Source organism: Homo sapiens, chromosome 6 (genome assembly GCF_000001405.40).
Source record: "Homo sapiens chromosome 6, GRCh38.p14 Primary Assembly".
NCBI classification, from domain to species: domain Eukaryota; kingdom Metazoa; phylum Chordata; class Mammalia; order Primates; family Hominidae; genus Homo; species Homo sapiens.
Genome location: NC_000006.12, coordinates 75,234,968 through 75,262,276, shown reverse-complemented (window position 1 = coordinate 75,262,276; position 27,309 = coordinate 75,234,968). Strand labels below are relative to the sequence as shown.

The 27,309-nt window shown below is 37.9% G+C and overlaps 2 protein-coding genes across 11 annotated transcripts in view, besides 2 other annotated features; both read left to right on the top strand.

Moving 5' to 3' along the window:
• The window catches only part of TMEM30A (transmembrane protein 30A), a 31,869-nt gene extending 22,516 nt beyond the window's left edge, over nt 1-9,353 (top strand). For both annotated transcript variants that reach the window (NM_001143958.2, NM_018247.4), the window contains 4 exons: nt 1,366-1,453; nt 2,787-2,930; nt 3,291-3,497; nt 5,982-9,353. In NM_001143958.2, coding sequence (NP_001137430.1) covers nt 1,366-1,453; nt 2,787-2,930; nt 3,291-3,497; nt 5,982-6,175 — 633 coding nt within the window. In that variant the 3' untranslated portion in view covers nt 6,176-9,353. The remainder of the gene's footprint in view (nt 1-1,365; nt 1,454-2,786; nt 2,931-3,290; nt 3,498-5,981) is intronic.
• Nucleotides 9,354-11,978: 2,625 nt separating this feature from the next.
• COX7A2 (cytochrome c oxidase subunit 7A2) lies at nt 11,979-24,602 on the top strand. 9 transcript variants are annotated; one of them, NR_029466.2, is made up of 5 exons: nt 11,979-12,221; nt 18,271-18,560; nt 21,012-21,154; nt 21,892-21,976; nt 24,289-24,602. NR_029466.2 is itself a non-coding variant. In NM_001366292.3 (5 exons), the coding sequence occupies exons 2-5, from the start codon at nt 18,543-18,545 to the stop codon at nt 24,345-24,347; spliced, it is 252 nt and encodes an 83-aa protein (NP_001353221.2). In that variant the 5' UTR covers nt 11,979-12,221; nt 18,404-18,542; the 3' UTR covers nt 24,348-24,602. The 9 variants fall into 9 exon arrangements, 6 of the variants coding, with proteins under 6 accessions (NP_001353221.2, NP_001856.3, XP_047274146.1 ...); NM_001366292.3 differs by having other exon boundaries at nt 18,404-18,560; nt 21,012-21,101; NM_001865.6 differs by having other exon boundaries at nt 21,012-21,101; nt 24,289-24,490.
• Nucleotides 18,042-18,141: an enhancer, noted in NCBI's record as "active region_24758". NCBI's record gives its function as "activates an Ori minimal core promoter by ATAC-STARR-seq in GM12878 lymphoblastoid cells {active_cell/tissue: GM12878}" and the evidence as "EXISTENCE:reporter gene assay evidence [ECO:0000049][PMID:35858748]".
• Nucleotides 18,362-18,691: an enhancer, noted in NCBI's record as "active region_24757". NCBI's record gives its function as "activates an Ori minimal core promoter by ATAC-STARR-seq in GM12878 lymphoblastoid cells {active_cell/tissue: GM12878}" and the evidence as "EXISTENCE:reporter gene assay evidence [ECO:0000049][PMID:35858748]".
• Nucleotides 24,603-27,309: the final 2,707 nt, after the last annotated feature.

Below are 27,309 nucleotides of genomic sequence, written 5' to 3'. Positions count from 1 at the left end.
TTCCTGGACTCAAGCAAACCACCCACCTCACCCTCCTAAGTAGTTGGGACTAAAGGTGCACGCCACCATGCCTGGCTAATTTTTTGTATTTTTGTAGAGATGGGATTTCGCCATGTTGCCCAGGCTTATCTCGAACACCTGGACTCAAGGGATCCTCCCACCTTGGCCTCCCAAAGTGCTGAAATTAGGGGCATGAGCCACCGCACCCGGCCCTCATCAAATAGCTTTTGTAAGCCAGTTAATGCAAAGTACCTAGCATTGCTTAGTTTAGTACCTGACACATAGATAGTAAATACTATTTTCCTTTCTTTTAAAACTTCCTTAAGAATTTAGTGGCTAGCAGATATATTTGCCCTATTGTTAATAGCTTTATCAATACAGATGGTGTAGGGACCAAAAAGCTGAGAAGTCAAATATTGAAGAGACTTTATGAGATACCTACCACAGACTTCCTTAGCCTTATCTTTTCCATTCACACAAGTGCTTTTATCCAATCTAGACATGGAGAATATAGATACAAGTCAAGGTTAGCTGGTAATGAAATAGTCCTAAGAGGTCTAATTAGGGTCCTCTTAATTTCAAATTGAGATTATCTTGGTATGTTTATGTGTTTTGAGACATGGCTTAATGTGGCGGGAGGGTCCCAGCTCAGACAGACCCCTAACCTCAGACTTGATATGATCTCTAGTTGAATCCCATAACTGCCACACCTCTTTAAGATCCTCAGTAGGGAGTAAGTCAAAACCAAAATCTGGACCACAGGCAAATGTTCTGCCTTGTCAGCATTTTTGTTTTTCTTGTACCTGGATGCACAGTTTAAAGATTGATATATTCTAGGAATCTGCACTAGACTCCTTCCTTCCTTTCTTAGATATAGGATTTAACCCCAAATCACAAAATTTCAGATTGTATAGTTGGACATGTTTATTTTGTGAGGCCCAGTTAAATTAAAGGAATTGCCCAAGGAACTAGAACCTCTAGCCTCTTTAGTTCCAGTTTAAGATTTTCTTGTTATATCACAACTGGATTGGCAATAGACCATTTCTTAATTTTTCTTGGGCAGAAAACCCTTTGTGGTAATGTTTCTGTGATAAGAAAATCAAAAAGATGTTTATTTGATATATGCATATATGACAAAACATATGCAAGTAAAGGTTATATTAAAAAGGTAAGGCAGTAATGTTCAGAATACATTTTGAATATTTAAATGTGGTGTTATCTATAGCCTACTTACATTACAGACCTGTGTATTATAAGTGAGAAAAATATAGGTGTTGAATTCTTAATCAGTAATTTAGGGATAGCTCATAGTTCTCCCAAAGGCCTGGATAATAATTTCTCTCTTCTTTTCCTTGTAAAAACCAGAATCCCAGTAAGGAATGTGAACCTTATCGAAGAAATGAAGACAAACCAATTGCTCCTTGTGGAGCTATTGCCAACAGCATGTTTAATGGTATGATATAGATACAAATATAGACATATATAATTAGGACAATTTGCATAATTTCATTACAGATTTGATAGTTTAGTAAACATGAATGAAATTGAGAAACTCAAACATTTAAGACTAAATCGAGTATTGAATGGGGTATTATAATGATTTGTGATTTTCTTTTGAGCATACTTACATTTTAGAGTGGATTTCTGTCTCTGAGAAGAAAGAAGCAGAAACATTCTGCTAATCTTATTTCATATAAAAATAAAAGTCAGGCTGACCTTCCCACTGACTTCATTTTTATCATTGAAAAGGAGCTATAGTTGATCATTTAGAGCAGCACTATCTGATAGAAATATAATGTGAGCTATAAATACAAGTCCTGTAGGTAATTTTACATTTTCTGTCTTTTTTTTTTTTTCCTTTTTCTTTTTTTGAGATGGAGCGTCATTCTGTCGCCCAGGCTGGAGTGCAGTGGCGCGACGTCGGCTCACTGCAACCTCTGCTCCCTGGGTTCAAGCATTTCTCTTGCCTCAGCTTCCCCTGTAACTGGGATTACAGGCGCCCGCAACCACGCCTGGCTATTTTTTTTGTATTTTTAGTAGAGACGGGGTTTCACCATATTGGTCAGGCTGGTCTTGTATTCCTGACCTCGTGATCCGCCCACTTCGGCCTCCCAAGTTGCTGGGATTACAGGCGTGAGCCACTGCGCCTGGCCTGGTAATTTTAAATTTTCTAATAGTCATATTTAAAACTATGAAAAGAAACAAGTGAAATTAATTTTAGCAATATGTTTTATGTAACAGTATATCCAAGATACTGTTATTTCGGCATATAATACTATATAAAAGTTGAGATACTTCATATTCTAATTTTTTATACTAAGTCTTTGATATCTGATGTGTATTGTACACTTATAGAACATACTCATTTGGACCAACCACATATGAAAGACTCAGTAGCCCTGTGTGCCTAGTGGCTGTTGTATGAGACAATGCAAACAGAAATGGATAAGCAAGAAGCTATTGGGGATGCATTATTGGAAGGAAGGAAATGCAGATTTACCTTGCAATTATAGTTGGGTTAATATTAAAACATTTGATCTTACTGCATGTCAGCTAGCCTATGGGTAACTGAATTAGAACTCTGTTAAAGGAAGAGAAGTCCATCTAGAATTATAAAGTTACCATAGTTAATCCACATAGGAATAAAGAACAAATGTGAATCATATGCCTACTCTGTCACAACCACTTTTGGAAACAAATATCAGGTCCTTATTTCTCATAGAGTTAAGCAGATGCTATGAGTTTTCAAGAGATAGTTAGTAATGTCTTTCTTTGCTTGTGTTTAGATACATTAGAATTGTTTCTCATTGGCAATGATTCTTATCCTATACCTATCGCTTTGAAAAAGAAAGGTATTGCTTGGTGGACAGATAAAAATGTGAAATTCAGAAATCCCCCTGGAGGAGACAACCTGGAAGAACGATTTAAAGGTAAAACATTACTAATATCCCTTAAAAAATTAAACTAGGAGTTTTAATGAAGTATTTTAAATTTTCTATCTTCAGAATCTTAAAGTTATGCTTTGAAAAACACAATTTTTCTTTCCTCAGCTTCATACCAAGTTAGGTAAATGTTCTAATGTACTAAAATTCTAAAGGAAATGTATACTTTTAATTATGAATTCAGTTTCTGTGATGTCTTATAAGCATTTCAGCTATAATATTTTAAAATTGCAGCAAAGCTTCTTTTGAATAAACCCCTATTTATTATCCAAATTTATTCGTTTCTCCGCCACTTTAATTTCACAATGTAATATTTTGTCTCCTTATCCCCTCCCCACTCCTTTTAAGGTACAACAAAGCCTGTGAACTGGCTTAAACCAGTTTACATGCTGGATTCTGACCCAGATAATAATGGATTCATAAATGAGGATTTTATTGTTTGGATGCGTACTGCAGCATTACCTACTTTTCGCAAGTTGTATCGTCTTATAGAAAGGAAAAGTGATTTACATCCAACATTACCAGCTGGCCGATACTCTTTGAATGTCACATACAGTATCCTTTTTTGGCTGGGTATACAGATTCATAGAGCTTGAAAGGAGTCGAGTCCAACCTTATATCTGTTATGTGGCATGTTACCTTGTGCTTTAGTTTTGGTCTCTGCATTTTTACAAAAGTATGTGTGGTATATGTGAGAATGTATTTTTAAATTTACGTCTTCTAGAAATGTTTTGAATTCGCATATACTTGGTACTGGGGTTTGAAGCATATTGTTTGGTAAAATTACTTAAAATATAGGTGCTTGTTTTATTAACAAGCTAGGTATTTTTACAAGGGAGATTGTAATTGGGCTTAATGTAAAGGCCAATGAGAGTACCTAAAATTGGGTGTTGAGTGGTACTGGGCTGTTTTAATATATATATTTTAGATATTAAAAATCAACGGATGTGTTAATTTGTATCAATGTAATTGTTCATGATTTTGATCTATTGGTAGTATCAAAACATTTTATTATTAGCTATATTGTTCCATATTAATAAGTTCACATTCAGTGCTGATAAATACATTTATTCCACTCTAACTATGTGTTAACACTGTGCTGAGTATTTTCCGCTCATTACTTAATTCAGGCAGCAGCATATCTCCCTATTACAGACCAGAATACAGGAATATCGAGCACTTAAGTAACTTAGCTGACTTTACACAGGTAATAATAAAGAGTTGAGGTTCATAACCAGGCTGTTGACTCCAAAGGCCATAATTTTACTCTCAGCTACCAACATAGCCTGCGTCTTAGCTAGTTCACTCAGTTACACCAACCCATATCTGCATAGATGCAGTCTTTTTTAGGAGGGAAATACTCAGTAATTTCTTTTATTCTAACCAAAGTCTTTGCATCTTTTAATCTGGAGTCTATATTTTACATACACTGTGAGTGAAGAGATCTCTCAATATTAGAATTGTAAATGTTTGCTGATCTTTGCATTTTTATTTCCATAATCCAAATGAGTCATAATCCATATGGGTTTTGGTTTTAAAATGGATTAGTAAATGGTTAAATTAATAGACCCAATTTCAAAATAAGGTTTTTTTTGAATTCTACTCTCTTGATGTTGCACCTGAATACACAAGTAAATATGGCCTGCTATGGCAGGCTAAAAGTGACCAAGTTTTTGAAACTAAATCCACATTGGAGCAGTTTTGGACAGACAGACCCACTTCAAGTGCTGGTAGAAATAACATTATCCTGAGGGGATAGTCAAACTAGAGAGTAGCTCTGTTAAAATTAGCATCCAGAAAATCTCTAGAGAGTAAGGGCAAATTTAGCAACCTGTAGCCTAAGGCACAATGAAGGGAAGTCTGTGAAGCACTGAGGAATTTTTAGTTGATAGATGATTTCCATACAGGAATTCTGCAGCAGGGTCCCAGGTTTGAAAGAACTATCTAAAGGAATGCATGATATATGGCAGATTGAGAAGACTTGATAAGACAGGAATTTGGACCTGCAAAACATCAAGGGTTAATTATCAAAATTGGGCATAAGGTGGGAACTAAAGACTAGAATGATGGCAGAAGCCTGTTTCTTTAGGTTTGGGAGACTAGAGAGAGACAAGCATGGGTAATTTGATACTGTATCCCACAGAATGTTGGGTTAGCTAGAGGTCTTAAAATCATTCCTGCCTTAGTTTAGGGTTAATTTAAGAAGTTAGCAGAACTGAACCTGCCATTGGGAGTTAGGGACCCATAGGGACCCATCTGTGGGGATGGAGAGTTGAAGAAACTAGAGAAACAGATGGGGCCTAACCCTAGATTCAAAAGATGCTTTTGAAAAAGTTGTAAACTTTTTGCATGGAGACTTGGTTCTGTCTTCTTTGCTGCCTTACCTCTTGCAAAATTCTACAACTGGTCCATGTAGATAATTCATCTAGTACACTGGTGCCCTGTTTCCTAAATCTCCTTAACAGCCCACCCTTCACTGCCACTGTTAGCTATCAGCTGTGTCACAGAGTGAGTTTTGCCATTGCTCCAAATCAGCAAGTTAAAACTTTTTTATTACCATGCTTTTTGATCTTTTGCTCAGAGCCTTTTCATAGTCTCATAACTACACTCTTGATACATGTGTTCTTTGAGCTCATGGAGACTTCTAGTTCCTGATTTTTCCATTTTCTCCTGGTCTGTCAGTCTCCTTGTGTGGGCTTCATTGTTCACTTGAAGTATTTTTTTCACATTGCATTCCTTTGAGGCCTTTTGCCCCTTCCATGTAATGAGAGCAAAAGCACCTGAGAAACTACATAACCTTTACATTTATTTGTTTTGGTAAAATATTTTGGCTTTTACTACTAACATTTAGTTTGCTAAATCAGTCTTTCAAGATAATACTTTGTGTGTGTGTGTGTGTGATTTAGAACGTAGGAGTGAGGTACCTGTATATCCTAGAATTACACAAATGAATTACCAACAATTAAATGGCAACTTTTAAAATTGTATTTTAAACATCAAGTAACCAGAGATGGAAAAATCTTCCTATACCCTCTTCAGATTACCCTGTACATTATTTTGATGGACGAAAACGGATGATCTTGAGCACTATTTCATGGATGGGAGGAAAAAATCCATTTTTGGGGATTGCTTACATCGCTGTTGGATCCATCTCCTTCCTTCTGGGAGTTGTACTGCTAGTAATTAATCATAAATATAGAAACAGTAGTAATACAGCTGACATTACCATTTAATTTTATATTATGAAAGCAAATCATCTGCATGTGCATCAAGGCCAGTCCTATTCAACCTAGCTTTCGAATGCTGATATCTGGTTAGTATGTCATTTTGAAGTTGGCACATAACTTTTCTAAAAAAAAGCAGTCTTTGTTGTTTGCTTCTTCCCTACGGATGACTTCTAAAAATATATGACGGGTATAAAAAAATTAGCTATATTGATCATATCAACACTGTAACTGCTGAAATGGCATTCTAATGTTTGCTTTTTATTCGGACAGGCCACATGATGCATAGAGCCTCTTTCATGTGACTTGTGTCTACTGCTTAAATCTTTATGCTGTGTTGATGATATTATATTGACATATGAAGCTGTATATGTGTATGTATTTTGTGGAGAAAGGGATTACAAGATGTATGAGTATAATGACTTGCTAACCTTTCAGGATTCAGAGAAAGATGAAGAAAGACCATATCTAAATAATACACTTCATCATTTTCATGTGTATAAATGCTTAAAGTACCATCTTTGTTGAGGTGGTTCATGTATCCAGTTTATCCAGTACAGTTATTTGTCAAGCTTAGCTTTGATTTCAAAGGACACGCTTACCTTGTCTGGCATAAGAATTAATGCTCATGTCTGCAGTGGTTGGGTAGGTCCTGCTTAGGAGAATTAAAAAATTCCTCTTTCCGTTTGGTTGAATGTTGCAGTCAGGAACCCCAACTCACTTGGAATGTTTTTATATGTAATCATTTCCCTTGAAGCTTATACTTTATAAGGGAAGAAAGAATTCAGGTGATATGGGAAAACTGCTTGGCAGACCTTCATCTTCTGCCTCAACTGTAAACCACATGTAAGTGCTTAATGGAGACTGTTTTCATTCTTGTGATATTTAACATTCAGAAAATTACTTCAGCTTTGGAAATACTCAGGCTGTTTTTATTCTGCAGGTAAGTGTTTTGACTTAAGTACTAATATTCCAGAAATTTTTGAAAGCAGTAACCTTAATTTCCTATGTATTTCATTCCACTTTTGCATATAGGTCAAATAGCAATGTGTATGCACATTCTCTTTAGTTAAGGCACCAATTGTTTTGGTTGGTTTTCCTAAGACATACTTTAAAAAGATGTTCTATAAATTTCCTAATTAAATTATGGGGATTTTGGAGTATGTACATGATAAATTATAATATGTATATGGTTGAAGTTATTTTATTTTTTACTAATGAATTATTTTAATATTCCTTATTGAATAAATGCTGTAACTTGTTTGCTATGGAACTTATTCTTAAAGTTCTAGTTAAAAATAATTTTTCCACATGCATGAAAATATGTATTAATCAGAGGTGGCTTAATTACATTGAAATTGCTTTTTTGTTGTTGTTTTTTTACTGAAATAACTCATGTTTGTGTAGAAGAATGCCTGTTTACTCAGAGTTTATATTTTCCTTCAGTTATATTTTAAATCAAAAGGTCTGGGTAATGTATACTTTTGATTAATATATACTTTTTTTAAAAAACAAAAAACAATGTAATGGTTAATAGTAGAAATGTGCCACACTTTTCAAGTTTTATATAACATATGAAATTCAGTTAAAAGAATGTGTGTTTCATAATGACTTTTAACTGGTAAAAATATTACTTGCACGAAGTACTTGATGTATGGTTATCCTGAAATTTCGGAGTATTTGGTGTGTTCTTTGTCTAAAAATAGTCTGTTTTGTCAGTCCTTCAGAATATTATTTATTCTGAAGATTGTCCCTCTTGCACTTGGCAGTTTATTTTCGGGGATACATTGTTGGGGGAGAGGGGTTTCTGCCACTCTTTCCAGATTGAGTCTGTGCTGTTTAAGGAGGACTACCATCCTGCAACTCTTTTTCTAACTGGGGCACAGAGGATGTCGCTAAAGAAAAGTTGAAGAGCCCTTTCAGCACTTTCTCATCTGTGGAGAAGATGGAATCTTAAAATACATTTGGAGTTTTATCTGTTTTACAAGTCCATTGATGGCCTAAGTTCCTCCTGTTTTCTGCTGTTTGATCTCTAAGGAACTCCTGTTGCTAAATATGAAGAGTATGGAACATTCGTATAGTCTCTGTGAAGCATGGGGGGAGGGAAGACATTTCTTTTTCTTATAGGCTTTATGCTCAAATGTCATAGTCTCCTTTCAAAGAATTGTGTTGCATTTTAAATGCACCCAGCTTAAGTAGAAGACATTGAAGGATGCATTAATTTTCAGGAACTATTTTGAATTATGAAAAGATTCCCAATTGAAAAAATTATTCAACAAGTAAAAGCTAAGAAATTTCATTGAAATCATAAGGCAGTTTAAGCATAAATTGATAAAAATAGCTGTGTACTACTAATTAATAGAAAATCATTCAACCAAGAGAAGAGTCAAGTGAATATCGTTTGTTTATTTGCTAGTGAGTTTCTTTGTAACGTTGATTTTATTAAATGATAATATTTGGTTAGTATGTCCTATGTTAATAAAAATGAACAAAATTAATTTTGCTATGTTCAGGTGTCTTGATAAAATAACAATGCTCCAGTGTTGTTGCTTACATTTAGCACTAAATTTTAACACAGCGTCAGTGAGTCCAGGTTTTAACTTCTTCATGCCTGGATGGGATAAAATGTAATTCATTGTTAAATTAATTCATATTTGTATTTATTAATCACTGTGACAACATTAACCATTTGTTCTTACCAGGAAGTGGTCAGATTATCATCTGAGTTACAGTTAGACTGGCTAAGTTTGGTATTAGATCAAGGGGAATGTCCAGTAAACAGAGAGGTAAGCATGATGGAAATAATGAAGTGGGGTACACAGGAAAAACCTGACTAGTGAGGAGGAGCAGCTGAGAGATAGGGTCAGTGAATGCGGTTCAGCCTGCTACCTCTCCTGTCTTCATAGAACCATTGCCTTAGAATTATTGTATGACACATTTTTTGTTGGTTAAGCTGTAAGGTTTTGTTCTTTGTGAACATGGGTATTTTGAGGGGAGGGTGGAGGGAGTAGGGAAGTGGTCCTTTTACAAGAATTTTGATGCATAAGTGTCTATTGTAGGGTTTGGATGATCTAGTAAAGTGTTTTAGAACCCCTTTTTATCCCATGCACCATTCAGTAAACATAAAAATCACAATTCTGCTAATGTCATTTGGAACTTCAAAATAAATATCTTGTCTAAAAACAAATCAGACCGTGGTGGCCTTATTTCCTTTTGTATATCTATAAAATTTATCAAAGTAACATGTACACAGTTTTAAAAAATAAAATAGTAAGTTCTAAAGGCTTTATGATAAAAAATAGTAGTCCCTGCCTGAACTTTCCTTCCCTCCCAGAGGCAATCACTGTGACTCCAAAAGTTGTTTCTTCTTTTACCTTAGTGTATCTAAATAGTATGGCTATTCTGTTGCTTGATATAACAATTTTAGACATTATTGTTACATGATGTTACATGATTTAGCTCTCTAACACACATACTTTGCCTTCTATTATGTAGTTATATCATAATATTTAGTAAATGCATTAGCTGTTATTTAAGTATGACTGTATAAATATTTTATACCCTAGGGCAAATGTAATATGATTTTCTTTTGCATAATTTTATTTTTCCTGGAATTAATAATTGCCTTATTTAAAACATTTACATAACTTTCTTGCAACATTATCTTCCTTGTATTGAATTTGTAGCACATTTCTAAAAATATTCTAATTTCTAGAACTTCTTTCATTTTATTTTGTTTCCAAAATATCCTACTTAGTTTATAGATATCTTATTTTTCTGAGGATATATATATATGAATATATATTACTACTTTTGTTTACTGCTCTATTAACACCAAAGTTTATTTGTTGCTATTTGTAATTTGTTTTTTCTCTTGTTCATATAGGCGAATTTCCTGTTATTTCTGGCTAGTCTTGGCAATATATGAGTAGACTCCAAAACACTATTTGAAAGCTCTGTGTTTGTGGGCAGTGCTTCAAGGGGTCTAGGGAGGTTCTCTTACTTACTGCTTTTAACTGTGCTTCTTCCTTGTCCTCCATCTCACCTCCTGATTTCCACTTCACACATACTTCCTTGTATCTGTCCCTCCCCATATTTCTTCCACTTAATTGTCTCCCATTTATTTCTCCAGATAAAAATTCTCTGGTGTTCTACCTGTGAGAGACAGTGATGGAAGTGAGAGATCATATTTTTATGGCTAAGGGGTAGGGCAGAGGACTTTGGGGATCAGGCCATTCTGTTGTATATGCTTTCAACTAGTCATTTTCAGGCCTGTCCCTGCCTCCACTCTTTGCTGTAACTTTCACCTCCAAATCTGAGCTTCTCAGGGGTTGTGGAATCAATCAGCATGCTTCCCTCTGGTATCCGCCTTGTAGTCCCTCTAGATTGCAGCTTTCTCTGTTCAGCTCAGTCATATTCCATCTGCTTTCAGTTTTCCACAAATTTGTTGAAATCATTTGTCTGTTGCTGCCTCCTCTCTATTCAAATTTTGGGCTCATATCTTTTTTAAAATTGTTTTTCAGATTATCATATGGTAAATTTTACTTCTGTTCTGGTAGCATAGTTTTGTGAGTTTTAACACCAGAGATAAAGAAAAGTACCATCACTCCCCAAATAACTCCTTATACTATCCCTTTGTAGTCATTCTCCCTTCCCCCCACTCATAATCCACAATTTGTTTTCTATCCCCATAGTTTTATCTTCTAGAAAGTTCTAAATAGAATAAATGCCATATGTAACTTTTGAAACGCCTTCTTTTCTTTAGCATAATGCCCCTGAGATTCATCTAAGATGATGAGTCTTATCAATAATTTTTCTCATATTTTAAAAATTTCTTTCATTTTACTATAGTGGGATGGAGGAGAGACAAACTCATGGGGCCAATCCACTATCTTAAATCAGAAACACCTTGAAGCAAATATACCCTTCACCTTTTGGTGATTTTATAATGTTTTTAAAAAAATCTTAAAAGATAAACTTGTTATGTACTTTAAGTGGTATTAATAGGAGCTTGTCTGTTTGTATATCACAAGCTTTTCTATCCAGGGTAATGTGGAAAAAGATTGAACTCCCCTTACATCCCTTTCAAGCTTGTTATGTCACTTTGTTTCAAGCACAGAATTGCAGACAATAGCTTTATAAATTTTTGTCAAATTGCTGTATCAGTGGTGTAAAATAACCCCAGGGCATGTTGTCTTTCCTTTTCACAACAAATTTTGTGAAACAGTATGTCCTTTATATTTTCTTATCATCTTCAGCTTCAGTCAGGGTCAGGTTTTCACCTCAAGATTACATCGTTTGTACTCTGTTGACTGTCACCTGTGTCTGAAAGATTCAGTAGAAAGAGTATGGGTTTCAGGAGTAGGCTGATACGGCTCCTATACTTACAAGCTGTACCTTGCAATTGCTTAAATCTTCTAAGCCATTTACCTTTCCTTGTCTGTAAAATAGGGATTTCAATACCCATTTGACAGATTTTGTTTTGAGCAATAAGGAAAGTGACAGTTAAAAAGCATTTAGCACAAAGCATAGAAAAATAGATATTCAATGAACAATTCCCATTCTTTTCTGTCAGATCAAGTGAACTCACCCTTATATTGATCTTTTTGCTCCATTTGATAGGCATTTTCCTTCCCACTTCATCTTTAGCATGTGGCTTCTGTGAATGACTCCTGATTTTTTTCCCCTTATCTGTTCCTTAGTCTCCTTTGTATATTCCTTAATGTTGGGAGTTCTTTGAGATTATGTTCTGTGCCTTTAAGTTACACATTCTGCCTGAACAATCTTAAGTACCTTATTATTCCATTGTCTTAACACTGACTGACTTCTCTATCTTTTCTTGTGCCTTGACATCTGTCTTGAGCTCTAGATTTTTCATTATTAATCTCTTGAGAAATGAAGGTTAATAATGAATTAACCTAAGTTAGTAAGGCCCAAGCAGCAATCATTCCACACAAGCCTGGGTTTAATAAGGTCAAAACAGGAATAATCTCACACCAACCTGAGATTTCTTACATTCCTCATTACTGTGAATGGTATAGCCAACCACCTTGAGGTAAGCCAGAAACCCTAGCTCTCTTCTCCAGCTGCCCAACCTAATCACTGTATTGTGTTGATTTTTGAATGTTCTTCCTTTTAGTTGGGTCTCTCATCCCTCCCCTTATCTACATCTCTCTTGATGATTTAGTTTAGGTTTTTCTTCCTCCTTGGATTACTATGAGAGCTTTCTGACAGACTCTCTGACCCTAATAACTCATGCCCAATCCAGCCTTTTATTACTAGAACGATCTTGAAATAGGGCTCCGATTTTAACAGTTTGCTACTTGAACCTCTAAGTAGCCCTTCAAGTTGTTTAATTCATCACTGAAATCAGCCTTCCACTGTTACCTCATTCTTCATTTGTTCTGCAAATCAAACCATTTGCAATTCCCCAAGACATTTGGCCACCCTGTCTTCTTTGCCTTTGCAAATGTTATAGCTTTTGCCTAGATTTTTCTTCTTACCCAACCTTTCTTCCCATAATAGTAAATATTTATTGAGTTATTTTAACAGCCACCCAATGATGATGAATACTGTTATCTCCATTTTAAAGACAAGAGAAACTGAGGTATAAATAGATTATGTATCTTACGTTCAGTCATGTCACTACCACTAAATGGCAGATTCAGGATCTGTCTGACTTCCAAGTTCTTAACAACAATATATTTTTTTTCTCTTTTCACTCCATCTAGGCCTCTGTTTTTGCAGTTCTGCAGCACATCAACGCTTGATTCCAAATTCAGATTGTTAATCATGTTCTTGTCCTACATCTGGAATGACTTAATTTCTGCTCCATTTATTCTACCAGACCTTGCCAAAATTGTCTTTTGTTTTTTGAGACGGAGTCTCACTCTGTCACCAGGCCAGAGTGCAGTGGCGTGATCTTGGCTCACTGCAACCTCCGCCTCCCAGGTTCAAGCGATCCTCCTGCCTCAGCCTCCCGAGTAGCTGGGACTACAGGCTAATTTTTGTATTTTTAGTAGAGATGGGGTTTCACCATGTTGGCCAGGATGGTCTCGATCTCTTGACCTCGTGATCTGCCCGCCTCGGCCTCCCAAAGTGCTGGGATTACAGGGGTGAGGCTATAATCCGTGCCCGGCCCAAAATTCTGTCTTTTTACAACCTTAGCCCACTAGTTTCTTTGAATTTCCCATACAACTTTTGTTGTACCAGTCATCTGGAGAGTCATTTATGTCTGCATCAAATTTACTGTTATGTATGATATTCCTAATTAGATTATATTCTCCAGAAGGTCAGAGACTTTAAAACAATATTCCCTTGCGTGTATTACAAAGTGTTACATTCATAGTAGGTAACCGGTAATTATTGTTCAATGGGGAATGACTCATGTTCATGTTGATGAAAAGAGTCAAACTCTATAAAATATTTTAAGAGATTTATTCTGAGCCAAATATGAGTGACACAGCCCTCAGGAGATCCTGGGAACATGTGCCCAAGGTGGTTGGGATACAGCTTGGTTTTATATATTTTTGGGAGGCATGAGACATCAATCAAATACATTTAAGAAATACATTGGTTTGGTTCAGAAAGGCGGGACAACTCAAAGCGGGGGACTTCCAGGCTATAGGTAAATTTAAACATTTTCTGGTTGACAACTGATTGAGTTTATCTGAAGATCTGGGATCAATAGAAAAGAAATGTTTAGGTTAAGATAAAGGATGTGGGCCGGGCGCGGTGGCTCACGCCTGTAATCCCAGCACTTTGGGAGGCCGAGGCGGGCGGATCACGAGGTCAGGAGATCGAGACCATCCTGGCTAAAACGGTGAAACCCCGTCTCTACTAAAAATACAAAAAATTAGCCGGGCGTAGTGGCGGGCGCCTGTAGTCCCAGCTACTTGGGAGGCTGAGGCAGGAGAATGGCGTGAACCCGGGAGGCGGAGCTTGCAGTGAGCCGAGATCCCGCCACTGCACTCCAGCCTGGGCGACAGAGCGAGACTCCGTCTCAAAAAAAAAAAAAAAAAAAAAAAAAGATAAAGGATGTGGAGACTAAGTTTTATTGTGCGGAGGAAACTCTCAGCGGACTGCAGAGAGAGCAGGTTATAAAATGTGTCTTATCAGACTTAAAAGAGTGCCTGGCTCTTAGTTGATTATCTCCTGGATCTGGAAAGGGGAAAGGAGATTCTCTATAGAATGCGGATTTTTCCCACAAGAAACTTTGTAGGGCAATTTCAAGATATGGCAGAGAGACATGTTTTGGGGTAAAACATTTTGATTTTCTTCCTCCTTATGCCAGAGTCACATGGGAAAGTAAGTCATAATATACAGGGTTAAATAAAACCCATCTGATGAGAATTTGTGGTTTGTAGGGCAGGACTCCCCAGACCCTTTAGATATGAATTTGGGCAAGATAAAAAAAAAAATCAGAGATTAGTCCTCATTCATATGTTTTATGAAATTGTTTATCATAAGGACTTTAGAGTCAGAGAAAAAGATCATTAGGAGTTAGTCTAACTAAAGTTTAATGATGAAAAGACTGAGGCTTGCAATTAAAGTATTTAATAATAAACTAATACAGCAACTAAGATAGCAACTGTTTCCTGATGTCCAAAAGTGACTCAGAATATGATAAAGTATGGAATTATATTGAAATGTTATCTTTTACCTAACCAGTAGTTTGTAACATTAAAGTTCACATGAAACTGTTCTATATTTTTATAAAATTGGAAGTTGGTTAAGCATGGCTCTAGAATTAACAGATGTGTGTACGCACACACACACAACCAAATCACACAAAACTATTCTGGCTTCCCTCTGTTTTTGTTACTTATCGATTCTATAGGCAGGATCAAAGTCAGGGTTATCTTGTCTGCTAAAAAGCAGACAAGGAAAAAAAGGAAAAAAAAGATTGGGTAACTGTCCTCTGGTAACTTTGCATCAGTAATTATGAGATATTTTCACTTAGTACTTTCGCATCTGATGTCCATCTTACTGACGAGACTTAAACCATTACCTACCTCAGGTTTCCCAGATATTTCCCACATATTCCCCCTGCCAATTTTGTTATACTGTTACAAAACCCTCCGGAGTAAGTATTTTCCGAAAGAACCATTTTCTAATTTTCTAACATTACAAAAGAGCAAGGATAAAAGAACCCCAAACTGATGTTTTGGAAAGCATTCTACTTTGAAAGTAACTTCTGGTTCAGAGGATGAATTTTAAAATGTGGTAATGTTTCTGGTGTGCCTGGGAAGATGCAATAAAGTTTGTTAGGTACGCAGGCAAATTTCAGTCATTTGTATGTCAGGATAATCACAACTTACAGAAAAGGAGCAAGAAGATAATGAATGAGGAACCCTGGGACTGAAAACATTTGGAGGGAGCACAAGTACTAAGACAGATGTTTTGAATTTTTATACTCAATAGTCCATTCTTTTGTGCAGGATACAGTTCATTCATTTAACCAATGTATATTGAGCATTTTCTATGTGCCAATTACTATTCTAGATGCCAGGGATACATGAGTAAACACAACCGAGTTTAGAGCAGAGTCATATGATCCAGCTTAAGTTCTTAAAAGAATCATTGCTGTGTGGAAGATAGTGGAAGAGTGGAAACAGGGAAACCCGTTAAAAAGGCTTTTGACATAATCTGAACAAGAGATGATGATGGCTTGGCCAACAGTAGTAGTACTGTTGGAGATAATGAGAAGTGGTTCAATTCAGATTATATTTTGAAGGTGCAGCCAATAGAAATTTTTAATAAATTGGTTTATAGAGTATGATAGAAAACAAAGTTTAAGGCTTGAAATAAGGAAAATTGCAGAGGAGAAAGTTGGGGAATAAGGAGTGGAAAGTAGAATTCAGTTTTGTTTGTAAGTTTGAGATGCGCATTAGCCATCTAGGTGGAGATGTCTCAAGTTAATGGGAAAGGCCAGGCGAGAGATAAGTGAGAGTTGTCAGCACATGAATAGTTTTTCTTTCCTAAAACAATTCTTTCTTCATACAATCTACAGGAAGTGGGAGTAGTAGTTCAATGTTAGATGAAATCACAAAATGGATGAATGTAGAAAAAAGGTGAGAAACTGAAATTTTAGAGGTTTAAGAGGATAAGGATCCAGGAAAGGAAAGTAAAAGGAGCAGCCACTAAAATAGGAGAACCACCGAAGGAGTACTATGGAAGCCACTTTAAGACCATGCTTCAAACTATCATATTCTTTCTTACATGTATGGTTTACCTCCAAATTAAAAAGTAAAAGTATATGGTGAGGGACGGATTAACTATGTTAAATGCTGCTAATAGATGGAGAAGGTGAAAATTGAGATTGACAGTTTATTTAGCAACCTGGAAGCTATTGGTGATTCTAAACAAGAGCAGTAAAAGCCTGCCCAAAATGGGATCAAAAAAAGATTAGGAGGAGGAGAAGGAGAGACAAGTATAAAGAAATCTATAGGATGGTAACGGTAATCAAAGGAGTTTGTTCGTTTGTTTTTAATTTGGGAATGTGTTAATAGATGGAATGATCCAGTAAAGGGGGAAATTGTACTGAATAACATGCATACAAGAATCTATGTCTACTTTAGGATCTATTTAATGTGAATTCATGGCTTTTTTTTTTTTTTTGATATGAAGTCTCACTCTGTCGCCCAGGCTGGAGTGCAGTGGAGCGATCTTGGCTCACTGCAAGCTCCACCTTCTGGGTTCACGCCATTCTCCTGCCTCAACCTCCTGAGTAGCTGGGACTACAGGCGCCCGCCACCACGCCCGCCTTATTTTTTGTATTTTTAGTAGAGACAGGGTTTCACGGCTTTAGCCAAGATGGTCTGGATCTCCTGACCTCATGATCCGCCCGCCTCGGCCTCCCAAAGTACTGGGATTACAGGCGTGAGCCACTGCGCCTGGCCTCATGGCTCTTTTTGGACAGGGTCATAAGCTTCTTAGATCTGTCACCCAATGTAATTAATTGATGTATTGGTTAATACTGTCTTTAGCAGTGCTAGGGGATTGGTAAGAAATCCACATCATCTCTGCGCTTGGGAAATTTACAATCTAGAGTTGGCTAAGTGGAGAAAACATAAGAGAGCACATACAACTAACAAATTCAGATTATGGACAATGTACTTAAAAAACCCCCACGCCCTAGCTATTGGCACGTGGTAATTTTGCCCAGAGTTTTGGTTATATGCATAATCCAGAGGGGTGTAGAAAACCAGGTCCTTTCAGTACCAATCTAAGGAAGACATGAATTGGGGTGTTTATAAACCTTGGTGAGGAAGAGAATTTTAACTGGGACTGGTAACTTGGTGGGCCCATTGACATACAGTAGATTGTGAAGAAGAAAACCCCAAGGATTATAAGGAATAGTTTTAATATTACTAATTTTTATCCTTTGCTGAAACTATGGGTTTCTTATTTGAAATGGCAATCAAATAATTTGTAAGAGTTTGTAGAAAGTGGAAAGATTATTGTAATACAGGGTAGATATTTGCATTTGTACATACTTGAGGGTAAGTACAAGAAATAAACACTTGTAATGGGGATTACTTAAGCAAAATGGATGACACCGACAGCCTTTCTGTACAACAAATAATTGCTGTGCTTCTCTACTCCAGTAATGAATGTAGTGCCCTGCTGGATCTGGGACAGCAAGACTTTTGAGTCCAGATTCGCCATCCCATTTCTTGTTCCCTAACGTTTCCTCAGAAGCGAGCGAGCCTCTTCCACAATTTGGGGACACTGTGGAAGAACTTCTTGCTTGGGGAGTTCTGCAGCAGTCGAAGGTACAAGAATATAAAAACTGGTATCTCGACACAGCTCTTACAGCATATTCTCAACACAAGGAACAGTAATGTGCCGCAGCAATTCCTTCGGTGGAAAAAACTGACTGTATCCGCGTAAGAGGAGTAATTCTTTTTTGAATTTTATGAGGCTTCAGAGCTGTATTTCGGCCAACCCAGTCTTTGTTCAGTTTCTAGCGGCTTCAAGGTTGCCCAGTTTTACGCCTTCTCGCTCAAAACAGACACTAGTTTTCTTTGATAGCCTGGTCTCACATTGACTTCATCTAAGCTTATTACATTCGTCTCATAAATCGTTTGCTTTTTCCCCAGCCTTAGCTCCAGGGACCAGCCTACTGAACATCGAAAAGGTCAGGAACGAGATCACGGGACTGAGACGGCGAGCCGGCTAGAGCGGATAGAGCCGTACTGCCGCTCTAGTTTTTCTTTTGCTCTCTATGGTTAGGAGCGCAAGCCTCTCTTCGGCCCGGAAAGATTTAAGTTCGTGAATGCATACGCAAGACTCGGAGGTAGTTCCGGTTCCGGCGTGGCCATTTTCGTTGGTGGTGTTCAGTTGTGGCGGTTGCTGGTCAGTAACAGCCAAGATGCTGCGGAATCTGCTGGTGAGGAGCTTCTCATCTTGCATTCATGATGGGGGCGAGGGAGTGGAGAGGAGGCTGAGGCACCACGACAGAAAACCCTCACCTGGGAGGGGTGCCGAAGGCGGCTAATGAAGTCACCTTGATTCGTGTCCTTTTTCCCTGACCTTACTTTCCCTTCCGTCTATTCCTCTCGCCCCAGGCCGTTACTGGGTAGATGTAAGGAGTGGAGAGGCTGGGGAAGTGACCAGAGACTCGTGGGTTAGACCCGTCTTGGGTTCTTAGTCACCACCTCTAACCCTGTCGGTCATTGATGAGGTTAGTAGCTCCGATCTGAGTAAAACCAAGACCCAGGTGGGGAGTGTCTGACACCCGGAAGCATCAAGCAGAAAGGTGTTTTTCTGGTACTGAAAGGTTTTAAGTTTCAATGGTTTTGAGCTTTGCGAGCTTGAGAAGGCAGTTTAAAAACCAAGCCATTCAATTTTGGGTGGAACTTTAGGAATAGTCATGGCTGAAGTGCAGTGTTATTTCCGTCAGGCGATTGTGCATTGTCCTTCACCCCTCCATCGACTTTGAGCATGTGAAATATTTCCCCAAATTTTGATAAAGAAAAATGCGACAATGATTATTTTATTTTTTAAATTATTTAATGAAGTTTTGCTTCATTAAAATCCTCAATGTAATTTTAGAAAATCGAGAGCATATTTGTTTCATTATTTAATTCAACTGGATATGTAGTGCATGTCTCTTCTTTAAAAGATGTATACCCTCTTTAAAATTTTTTAGGAAAAATGTAATGAGAGAAGCATTTTAATTGAGAAGGAATCATGCCAGTCTATTTGCTGTCAAGTAATAGGGTTTTTTTTGTTGTTGTTGTTTTTATTTATTTTATTTTATTTTATTTTATTTTATTTTTTTTTTTGAGACGTAGTCTCACTCTGTTGCCCAGGCTGGAGTGCAGTGGCACGATCTCGGCTCACTGCAATTTCCGTCTCCAGGTTCAAGCGATTCTGCTGCCTCAGCCTTCCAACTAGCTGGGATTACAGGCGCTCGCCACCAAGCCCTACTAATTTTTGTATTATTAATAGAGACGGGGTTTCACCATGTTGGCCAGGCTGGTCTCGGACTCGACCTCAAGTGATCCGCCCGCCTCAGCCTCCCAAAGCGCTGGGATTACTGGCATAAGCCACTGTGCACGGCCTTTTTTATTTTTTTATTTTTTATTTTTATTTTTTGAGCGGAGTTTCATTCTTGTCGCCCAGGCTGGAGTGCAGTGGTGCAATCTCGGCTCACTGCAAACCCCGCCTCCTGGATTCAAGCGATTCTCCCGCCTCAGCCTCCTGAGTAGCTAGAATTTCAGGTGCGCACCACCATGCCCAGCTAATTTTTGTGTTTCTAGTAGAGACGGGGTTTCGCCATGTTGGCTAGGCCGGGTCTTGAACTCCTTACCTCAGGTGATCCACCCACCTTGGCCTCCCAAAGTACTGGGATTACAGGCGTGAGCCACCGCGCCTGGCCAAGTAACAGATTTTTTTTTTTTGAGATGGAGTTTCACTCTTTTTGCCCAGTCTGTAGTGCAATGGGGCGATCTTGGCTCACCACAACCTCTGCCTCCCGGGTTCAAGCGATTCTCCTGCCTTAGCCTCCCGATTAGCTGGGATTACAGGCATGCACCACCATGCCTGGTTAATTTTGTATTTTTAGTAGAGACAGGGTTTCTCCATGTTGTTCAGGCTGTTCTCGAACTCCGGACTTCAAGTGATCTGCCTGCCTAGTAATAGAATTTTTTCTTTGAAACGGAGTTTCACACTTGTTGCCCAGGCTGGAGTGCAATGGCGCGATCTCAGCTCACTGCAACCTCCGCCTCCCAGGTTCAAGCTATTCTCCTGCCTCAGCCTCCCAAGTATCTGGGATTACAGGCAAGTGCCACCACGCCTGGCTAATTTTGTATTTTTAGTAGAGATGGGGTTTCTAATGTTGGTCAGAGTGGTCTCGAACTCCTGACTTCAGGTGATCCGCCCCCCTCCCCGGCCTCCCAAAGTGCTGGGATTACAGGTGTGAGCCACCGCGCCTGGCAGGTTTTTGATGATATGGCAGTATATTATGAAAATATTTGGGTTTGGTGTATTTTGGTTAAGCACTATTTTTGTAATATGTGTATGTCAATATGTTTGCATCAAGGATTATAAAATGCTACTGGTTCTGTTCAGGTAGAGATCATGATTTTATTTTTTGGTTAGAATCTATATGAATTGCTTCTTGAATATGTTATTTGGAGACTGCAGAATGTAATTCGAAGAGCAGAGGATGGATAACAAATTGAAAAACCTGGATGCTCTTGCATGACTTTGCTGCTGACAAATCAGATATGCTTCAAGTCTCAATTTACCTTTTCTATAATATGAACGACTGAAAATAGTTGGTTTTGAAGGTTTCTTTAGGCTCTAAGTCTATTTAATAATATTTTCATTTTAGGCTCTTCGTCAGATTGGGCAGAGGACGATAAGCACTGCTTCCCGCAGGCATTTTAAAAATAAAGTTCCGGAGAAGCAAAAACTGTTCCAGGTACTGAAGTATTTTATAGGAGATGTTACTTGTAATTATTAGATTACCAAAAGGTAAGAGTTGGGATAAACAAGTATGTGTATAAATTAGATCATATGACAATATAAACATTACAAAAAAAGTCAAGGACATGTACCATAGTGCTAATAGTGGTTGTCTCTTGGGGAAAGACCTGGTGGAGCAGAGCAATTTACCTTTATAAGTAGTTTGATTATGAGTGATTTTTGTTTTATTATGGTTTCTAGCTTTTCCTAAATAAAGCTTAAAGTGATTAAAAATAGTTGTATCATATATACCTAAAAATACAATACTTTATTGAACAGATGTACTAAATAGCTACTGTATGCTGGATTAGATGCTAGGGATATAATTTAGGGTTATAAACCAAAATCCCTTCCCCACTTTTTTAAGGGAAAAAAAGTTTCCTATGACTAAATCTAATGTGTGGCAATTATTGGTTCTTTTATATTTAAGTTATATTAAAGTTGTTGAGATCAGTGTGTATGTTTTATAGCTTTAATGTTTATATATTCTTTGGAAAGACCGTCATTAATGGATCTCAAATTAACGGTGAAAGAAGAATGCTGACTTTTAGGAATTCTTATTTTAAAAGTAGTAGTAGTAGAGACGGAATAAAGAAAATTGTAGGTCTTTTAAATTTTAATACTTAAAATACTTTAATTCTAGGGATTTAAGGAGCTATATCATTTTATATGCCTGTTCTTTTGAAACTTAGTTGGAAATGAGTGAGACATTTATTATTGTCTTTTTTTTTTTTTTTTAAATCTAGGAGGATGATGAAATTCCACTGTATCTAAAGGGTGGGGTAGCTGATGCCCTCCTGTATAGAGCCACCATGATTCTTACAGTTGGTGGTAAGGCCTTTGGAATGTTTGAAGGTTTATAGAAAAGTAATAGTAATGATAACTGATAACTTTATTGCTTTTGCTATGCCAGTATTTTAATGCAGGCAGTTTGTCTCCAGAATTTGATATCTTACTATATCTCATAATGATTCAAGAGGGTGACTGATACATACTGTATAAGAGCATTGTGATGTCTTCTTTTTTTTTTGAAATGGAGTTTTGCTCCTGTTGCCCAGGCTGGATTGCAATGGCGCGATCTCGGCTCACTGCAACCTCTGCCTCCCGGGTTCAAGCGATTCTCCTGCCTCAGCCTCCCGAGTAGCTGGGATTACAGGCGTGCACCACCATGCCTGGCTAATTTTGTAGTTTTAGTAGAGACGGAGTTTCTCCGTGTTGGTCAGGCTGGTCTTGAACTCCTGACCTCAGGTGATCTGCCCGCCACAGCCTCCCAAAGTATTGGGATTACAGGCATGAGCCACTGCGCCTGGCCTTGATGTCTTAATAAAAAAATAACACCAGTAAGATTTGATGATTATGTTGTGATAGAGTTGGCTTTCTGAGTCCCATTGATGGCAGTGAAGGCTATATTTCAGTCAAAAACATCCATTATATCCCACCTCTTACAGCAAGGGCTTTAAAACATTTTGACTGTGATGCAAAATAAAAGCACACTTTACATCTAAACTTTGTACAGACATATTTATGACCAAAACAAAATTTGTACAGAACAATACTTCCACTGGAAGGTAAAGAGAAGGGATGCTATATTTGAGTGATTATTTTATGCCTATCATATTCATAGGAATGCCACATACTTGGATTTCTGTGAGTCTTGCATGAAGTCTATAATATGTCCTCATTTTAAAGATGAAGAAATCATATTAATTACCTGTTTGGGAAACTCTACTCTCACACCACAACAATCAACATGGAAGATCTCTGTTGCCAAATGTGTGGGGGTTTTTCCCTGCACACCAAGTAATGGACACCAGCTAGGTGTCCTCCAGTTCAGTTTCCACACTATCTACTGGGAGATAGCATCAGATTCCACAGGTTGATGGCACAAGACTGTCCCCTCCTTCCCACCAGTTGCAAGTTTGGGTCTTCGGAACTTCTGACTGACTGGCTTTAAGTTGGGGTTCCCACAATCTCCTCGTTGGGGAAACACATTTACCAGTTTATTATAAAAGGTATAGGCTGGGCATGGTGGCTCATGCCTGTAATCCCAGCACTTTGGGAGGCTGAGGCTGGCAGATCACCTGAGGTCAGGAGTTCAAGACTAGCCTGGCACACATGGTGAAACCCTGTCTGTACTAAAAACACAAAAATGAGTCGGGTGTGATGGCACACACTTGCAATCCCAGCTACTCGTGAAGCTGAGGCAGGAAGATTGCTTGAACTGGTAGGCGGAGGTTGCAGTGAGCTCAGATTGTGTCACTGCACTCCAGCCTGGGCGACAGAGGGAGACTCCATCTCAAAAAAAAGAAAAAAAAAGATAAAGCCCTAAATTCCTTTTGGCCAATGTGACATTTCTTAGACATTCTGGTAAGTAGTTTTTAAAATGAAATTCCAGTTATCAGCTTTTTTTTTTTTTTTTTTTTTTTTGAGATGGAGTTTCGCTCTTGTTGCCCAGGCTGGAGTGCAATGGCGCGATCTCGGCTTACTGCAACCTCTGCCTCCCAGGTTCAAGCAATTCTCCTGCCTCAGCCTCCCAAGTAGCTGGGATTACAGGCATGCACCACCACGCCTGGCTAATTTTGTATTTTTAGTAGAGACAGGGTTTCTCCATGTTGAGGCTGGTCTCGAACTCCTGACCTCAGGTGATCCGCCCGCCTCGGCCTCCCAAAGTGCTGGGATTACAGGTTTCAGCAACTATGCCCGGCCCAGTTATCAGCTATTTTTTATATTACATTTGATTACTTTAAAATTATATCACTCTTTTTTTTTACATTCACTTTAGGGAAGGCTTGCATATTTTGAACTCTTTTTTTCTTTGGCATTTAATCATCCTTAGCATTTCTCAGGCAGTCTTGGGTTAATATGGAAATAACCTTTGTATACGTTCTTAATCTTATTTTTAAAAATTTTTGCATTTTATGTTGACAAATATATTATTGTGCCACACTTTCTATATTAAAACTAGATTAAATATATTTTACATATATTTATTTAAAATTTTTCCAGCACCTATCAAAATACTTTTTTGTGTTCCAATTAAGGTAGTCTTAATGCAAACTTACAACTTTTGAACTGGAATATTAAATTTATACACTTAGATCTTAGAATTTATGGTTAAGTTCTTTTTTGTTTTTTATTTTTAGGAACAGCATATGCCATATATGAGCTGGCTGTGGCTTCATTTCCCAAGAAGCAGGAGTGACTTCAGTCATCCCAGCAATCGCTTGGTTCAGTTTCATTCAGCTCTCTATGGACCAGTAATCTGATAAATAACCGAGCTCTTCTTTGGGGATCAATATTTATTGACTTGTAGTAACTGCCACCAATAAAGCAGTCTTTACCATGCTTTGTCTGATTTTATCACTTTATGCCAATAATTTCAACTTTTGGTCAGCCTTGTAAATCTTAGGTAAGGATCAAAGAAATGATTCTTTTGCCACTAAACTTGTGAAAGCAACATTATTGTGATGTTATTTTAGTGAAATTTTACTTCTAACAGCTCAAAATTAGTCTCAACTTCTGTCTCAACTTGCCGTTTGAATGCATATTGCTTTTTCCCCCTACCCACTCCAGTATATCTTGGAATATGCTAGAACCCGGGGGTAGTGGAAGCAGATTATCTTTGGCTCCTGGGGTCTATATTTCTTTTTTTTTTTTTTTTTCTCAGCTATGTGAGAGTATGCTTAAATATTGGATATATCCCACAGCTTAGAATTAGGCTTTAGTAGAATGGCTTTGTAAGATATTTCAGTATTTGTTTTTTTCTACACTCCGAGTGGGTTCAGGTAGGTTTCTCTCATCAGGAACCAACCAAAGCAGGACAGTTCCTGGGCTCCCCAGCTATCATCTAATGGACCCACAACTGTTTAACCTAAACAGTAGTTAGGTGCTTAATAAATGGTAGCCATAATAGGCTGCTCATAATAGGAATGTTTCAAAAAGGTCTATTTAGGGAACACAAAATCCAAATAGATACAGAGAGTAAGAATCAAAAAGAATTACGATGCTGCTCTAGGTAGTTTGCTTCAGGGTTTGCAGAACCCTTCCTGCTTTGAGAGAACTATGCATGAAGCTGGAAATTTCATAGACTTCAAGTTTGGGACTCCCTTTTCCTGGGTCCTGTTGTGCATCCATGTGGAGAGTAGCATCTTGTGAACCACTTCAGGACTTTCCTTCTATATATATCGAGATTGGTAATTCGTCAAGAGATACTGAGTGCCTACTGTGTCCTAACTGGTTTTAGGTACCTAGGAATCACTGGTGAACAAAAGCAGATTCTTCCCCTCATATGTTATAGAAAGGGGTGGTAGGAAAGAGAGTTTAAAAATAAATTGCACAGTAGGTTAAAAGATAAGTTCTATGGAAAAAGACCAAAGGGGAGAACTCACATGGGTGTGGTTGGTTGGTTGCAGTATTAAAGTTAGGGTAGGCTTCAACAGGAAGGTCAGATTATTTCGAGACATCCGAAAGTGAACTGGTCAGAAACAGTCATCCCACTGTGTTAGAAATTGGTTCTGGGACCTCCCACAGATACGGAAATCTGTGAATGCCCAAGCCTTTTATATAAAATGGTGTAGTGTTTGCATGTAACCTATGCACATCCTCCTATATACTTTAAATAATCTCTAGGTTGGTTATAATGCCTAGTGCAGGATAAATGCTGTGTAAATATACTGTATTGTTTTGGGGATAAGGACCAATAAGAAAGTCTGTATGTGTTCAATACAGATGCAGCCATTTATTTTTTACTAAATGTTTTCAAGCTGTTGGTTGAATCCACAGATGCGGAACCCACAGATATGGAGGGCTAACTGTATATGGGCAAAAGGCACTCTAGGAAAAGGAAACAGCCTAGAGCAAATGTCCTAAGGTGCCTGGCATGTTCAAAGAACAGAAAGGCAAGAGTAGATACCACTCAGTGGGTGATGGAGAGGAAGTTAGTAGGGGGTGGGCCACATCAATTAGGGCCTTGTAGGTTATTTTAAGGACTGGCTTTTGAGTGACATGGAGAGCCATCATAGGATTTCTCAATGAAGAATGACTTACATGTTTTAGAGGACTAGCCTGATTGTTGTGATAAAATAGACCATAGAGGGGCAGCGGTAGAAACAGGCAGATCCTTTAAGATGCTTACTGCAGCAACCTAGATGAGAGGTGATGAAGACTAAGAGCAGCTGTTAGCCATGAAAACGATGGAAAGTGTTCAGATTATGAGCAGAGGAGGATCTTTATCATTCACTTAAACCTTACCCTTCCTCATCCACCCATCCCACAATTTCTTACTGAGTATGAGTCTACTTTGTATAAAGCACTGTTGTAGGCTCAGAGAATACAGCTGTGAAATAGATGAGCAAGCCCTTTCATGGGTCTTACATTCCAGTTGGTGGAGATAGACAACAAATAATTCATAAGCCTGATACTGTCCTATAGTGGGAACTGCAGATCAACAGGGTGATCTATTAGGAGGAATAGCGCAGTGGAAGCTAGAAAAGGGCTGAGTAAAGTTACATTTGAACTGAGACCAGAAAAAAAGGAGCCAGCTAACAGTGAGAAGAAAAGCATTCCAAGGAATGGGAAAAGGAAATTGCTTTGCAGGGATGAATTGCAGAAAGAGGACAAGTGTTGTAGAGTATAGGGAGTAGGAGAAAGCAGCTGTTGTTCTCTCTTCCACAGTGACTAGCACAACAAATGGTTATACCACTACACACAGGGTCTAGATAGATTTGTTTTCTGGTTTCATAATCTGCAACACGATCTGATAACTATAATATTGATTTAGCAAGAATCCCAAATATAAATTAATGTAGACAATCTATCTCAGGCAGTTATTGTTACTATCATTAGTAAGAACTGGAAGCTGAGAACATACAGAGATCAAATACACAATAATTACATTTGAACTAGAACTCAAACCTAGATATGTCTTATTCTGAAGCCCTTTGTTTATGTGTTATGTACCATGTTATTCCTAAATGCAGAAAAAAGGAAAAAAGTACTTAGGATAATTTTACTGGTTGCTTTCCCCACAAACTTTATTCCTTTTGAATATTGTTGTATTCGTGGTTATGTTTGATGAATTAGCATCATAAGAATTGGCAATTTTTTCATTTCGCTCTTCTTTCAGACTCCTGTGAGTCTGACTGTGTATCTATTCCAGTTGCCTA

What these genes read in the sequence shown, in the direction of transcription:
- COX7A2 (XM_047418190.1), top strand. Translation starts at nt 18,447, where the DNA reads ATGCATACGCAAGACTCGGAGGTAGTTCCGGTTCCGGCGTGGCCATTT. An exon ending in AGATGCTGCGGAATCTGCTG is followed by an intron (nt 18,561 to 21,011) that starts GTGAGGAGCTTC and finishes TTTTCATTTTAG; the next exon opens with GCTCTTCGTCAGATTGGGCA. An exon ending in AGAAGCAAAAACTGTTCCAG is followed by an intron (nt 21,102 to 21,891) that starts GTACTGAAGTAT and finishes TTTTAAATCTAG; the next exon opens with GAGGATGATGAAATTCCACT.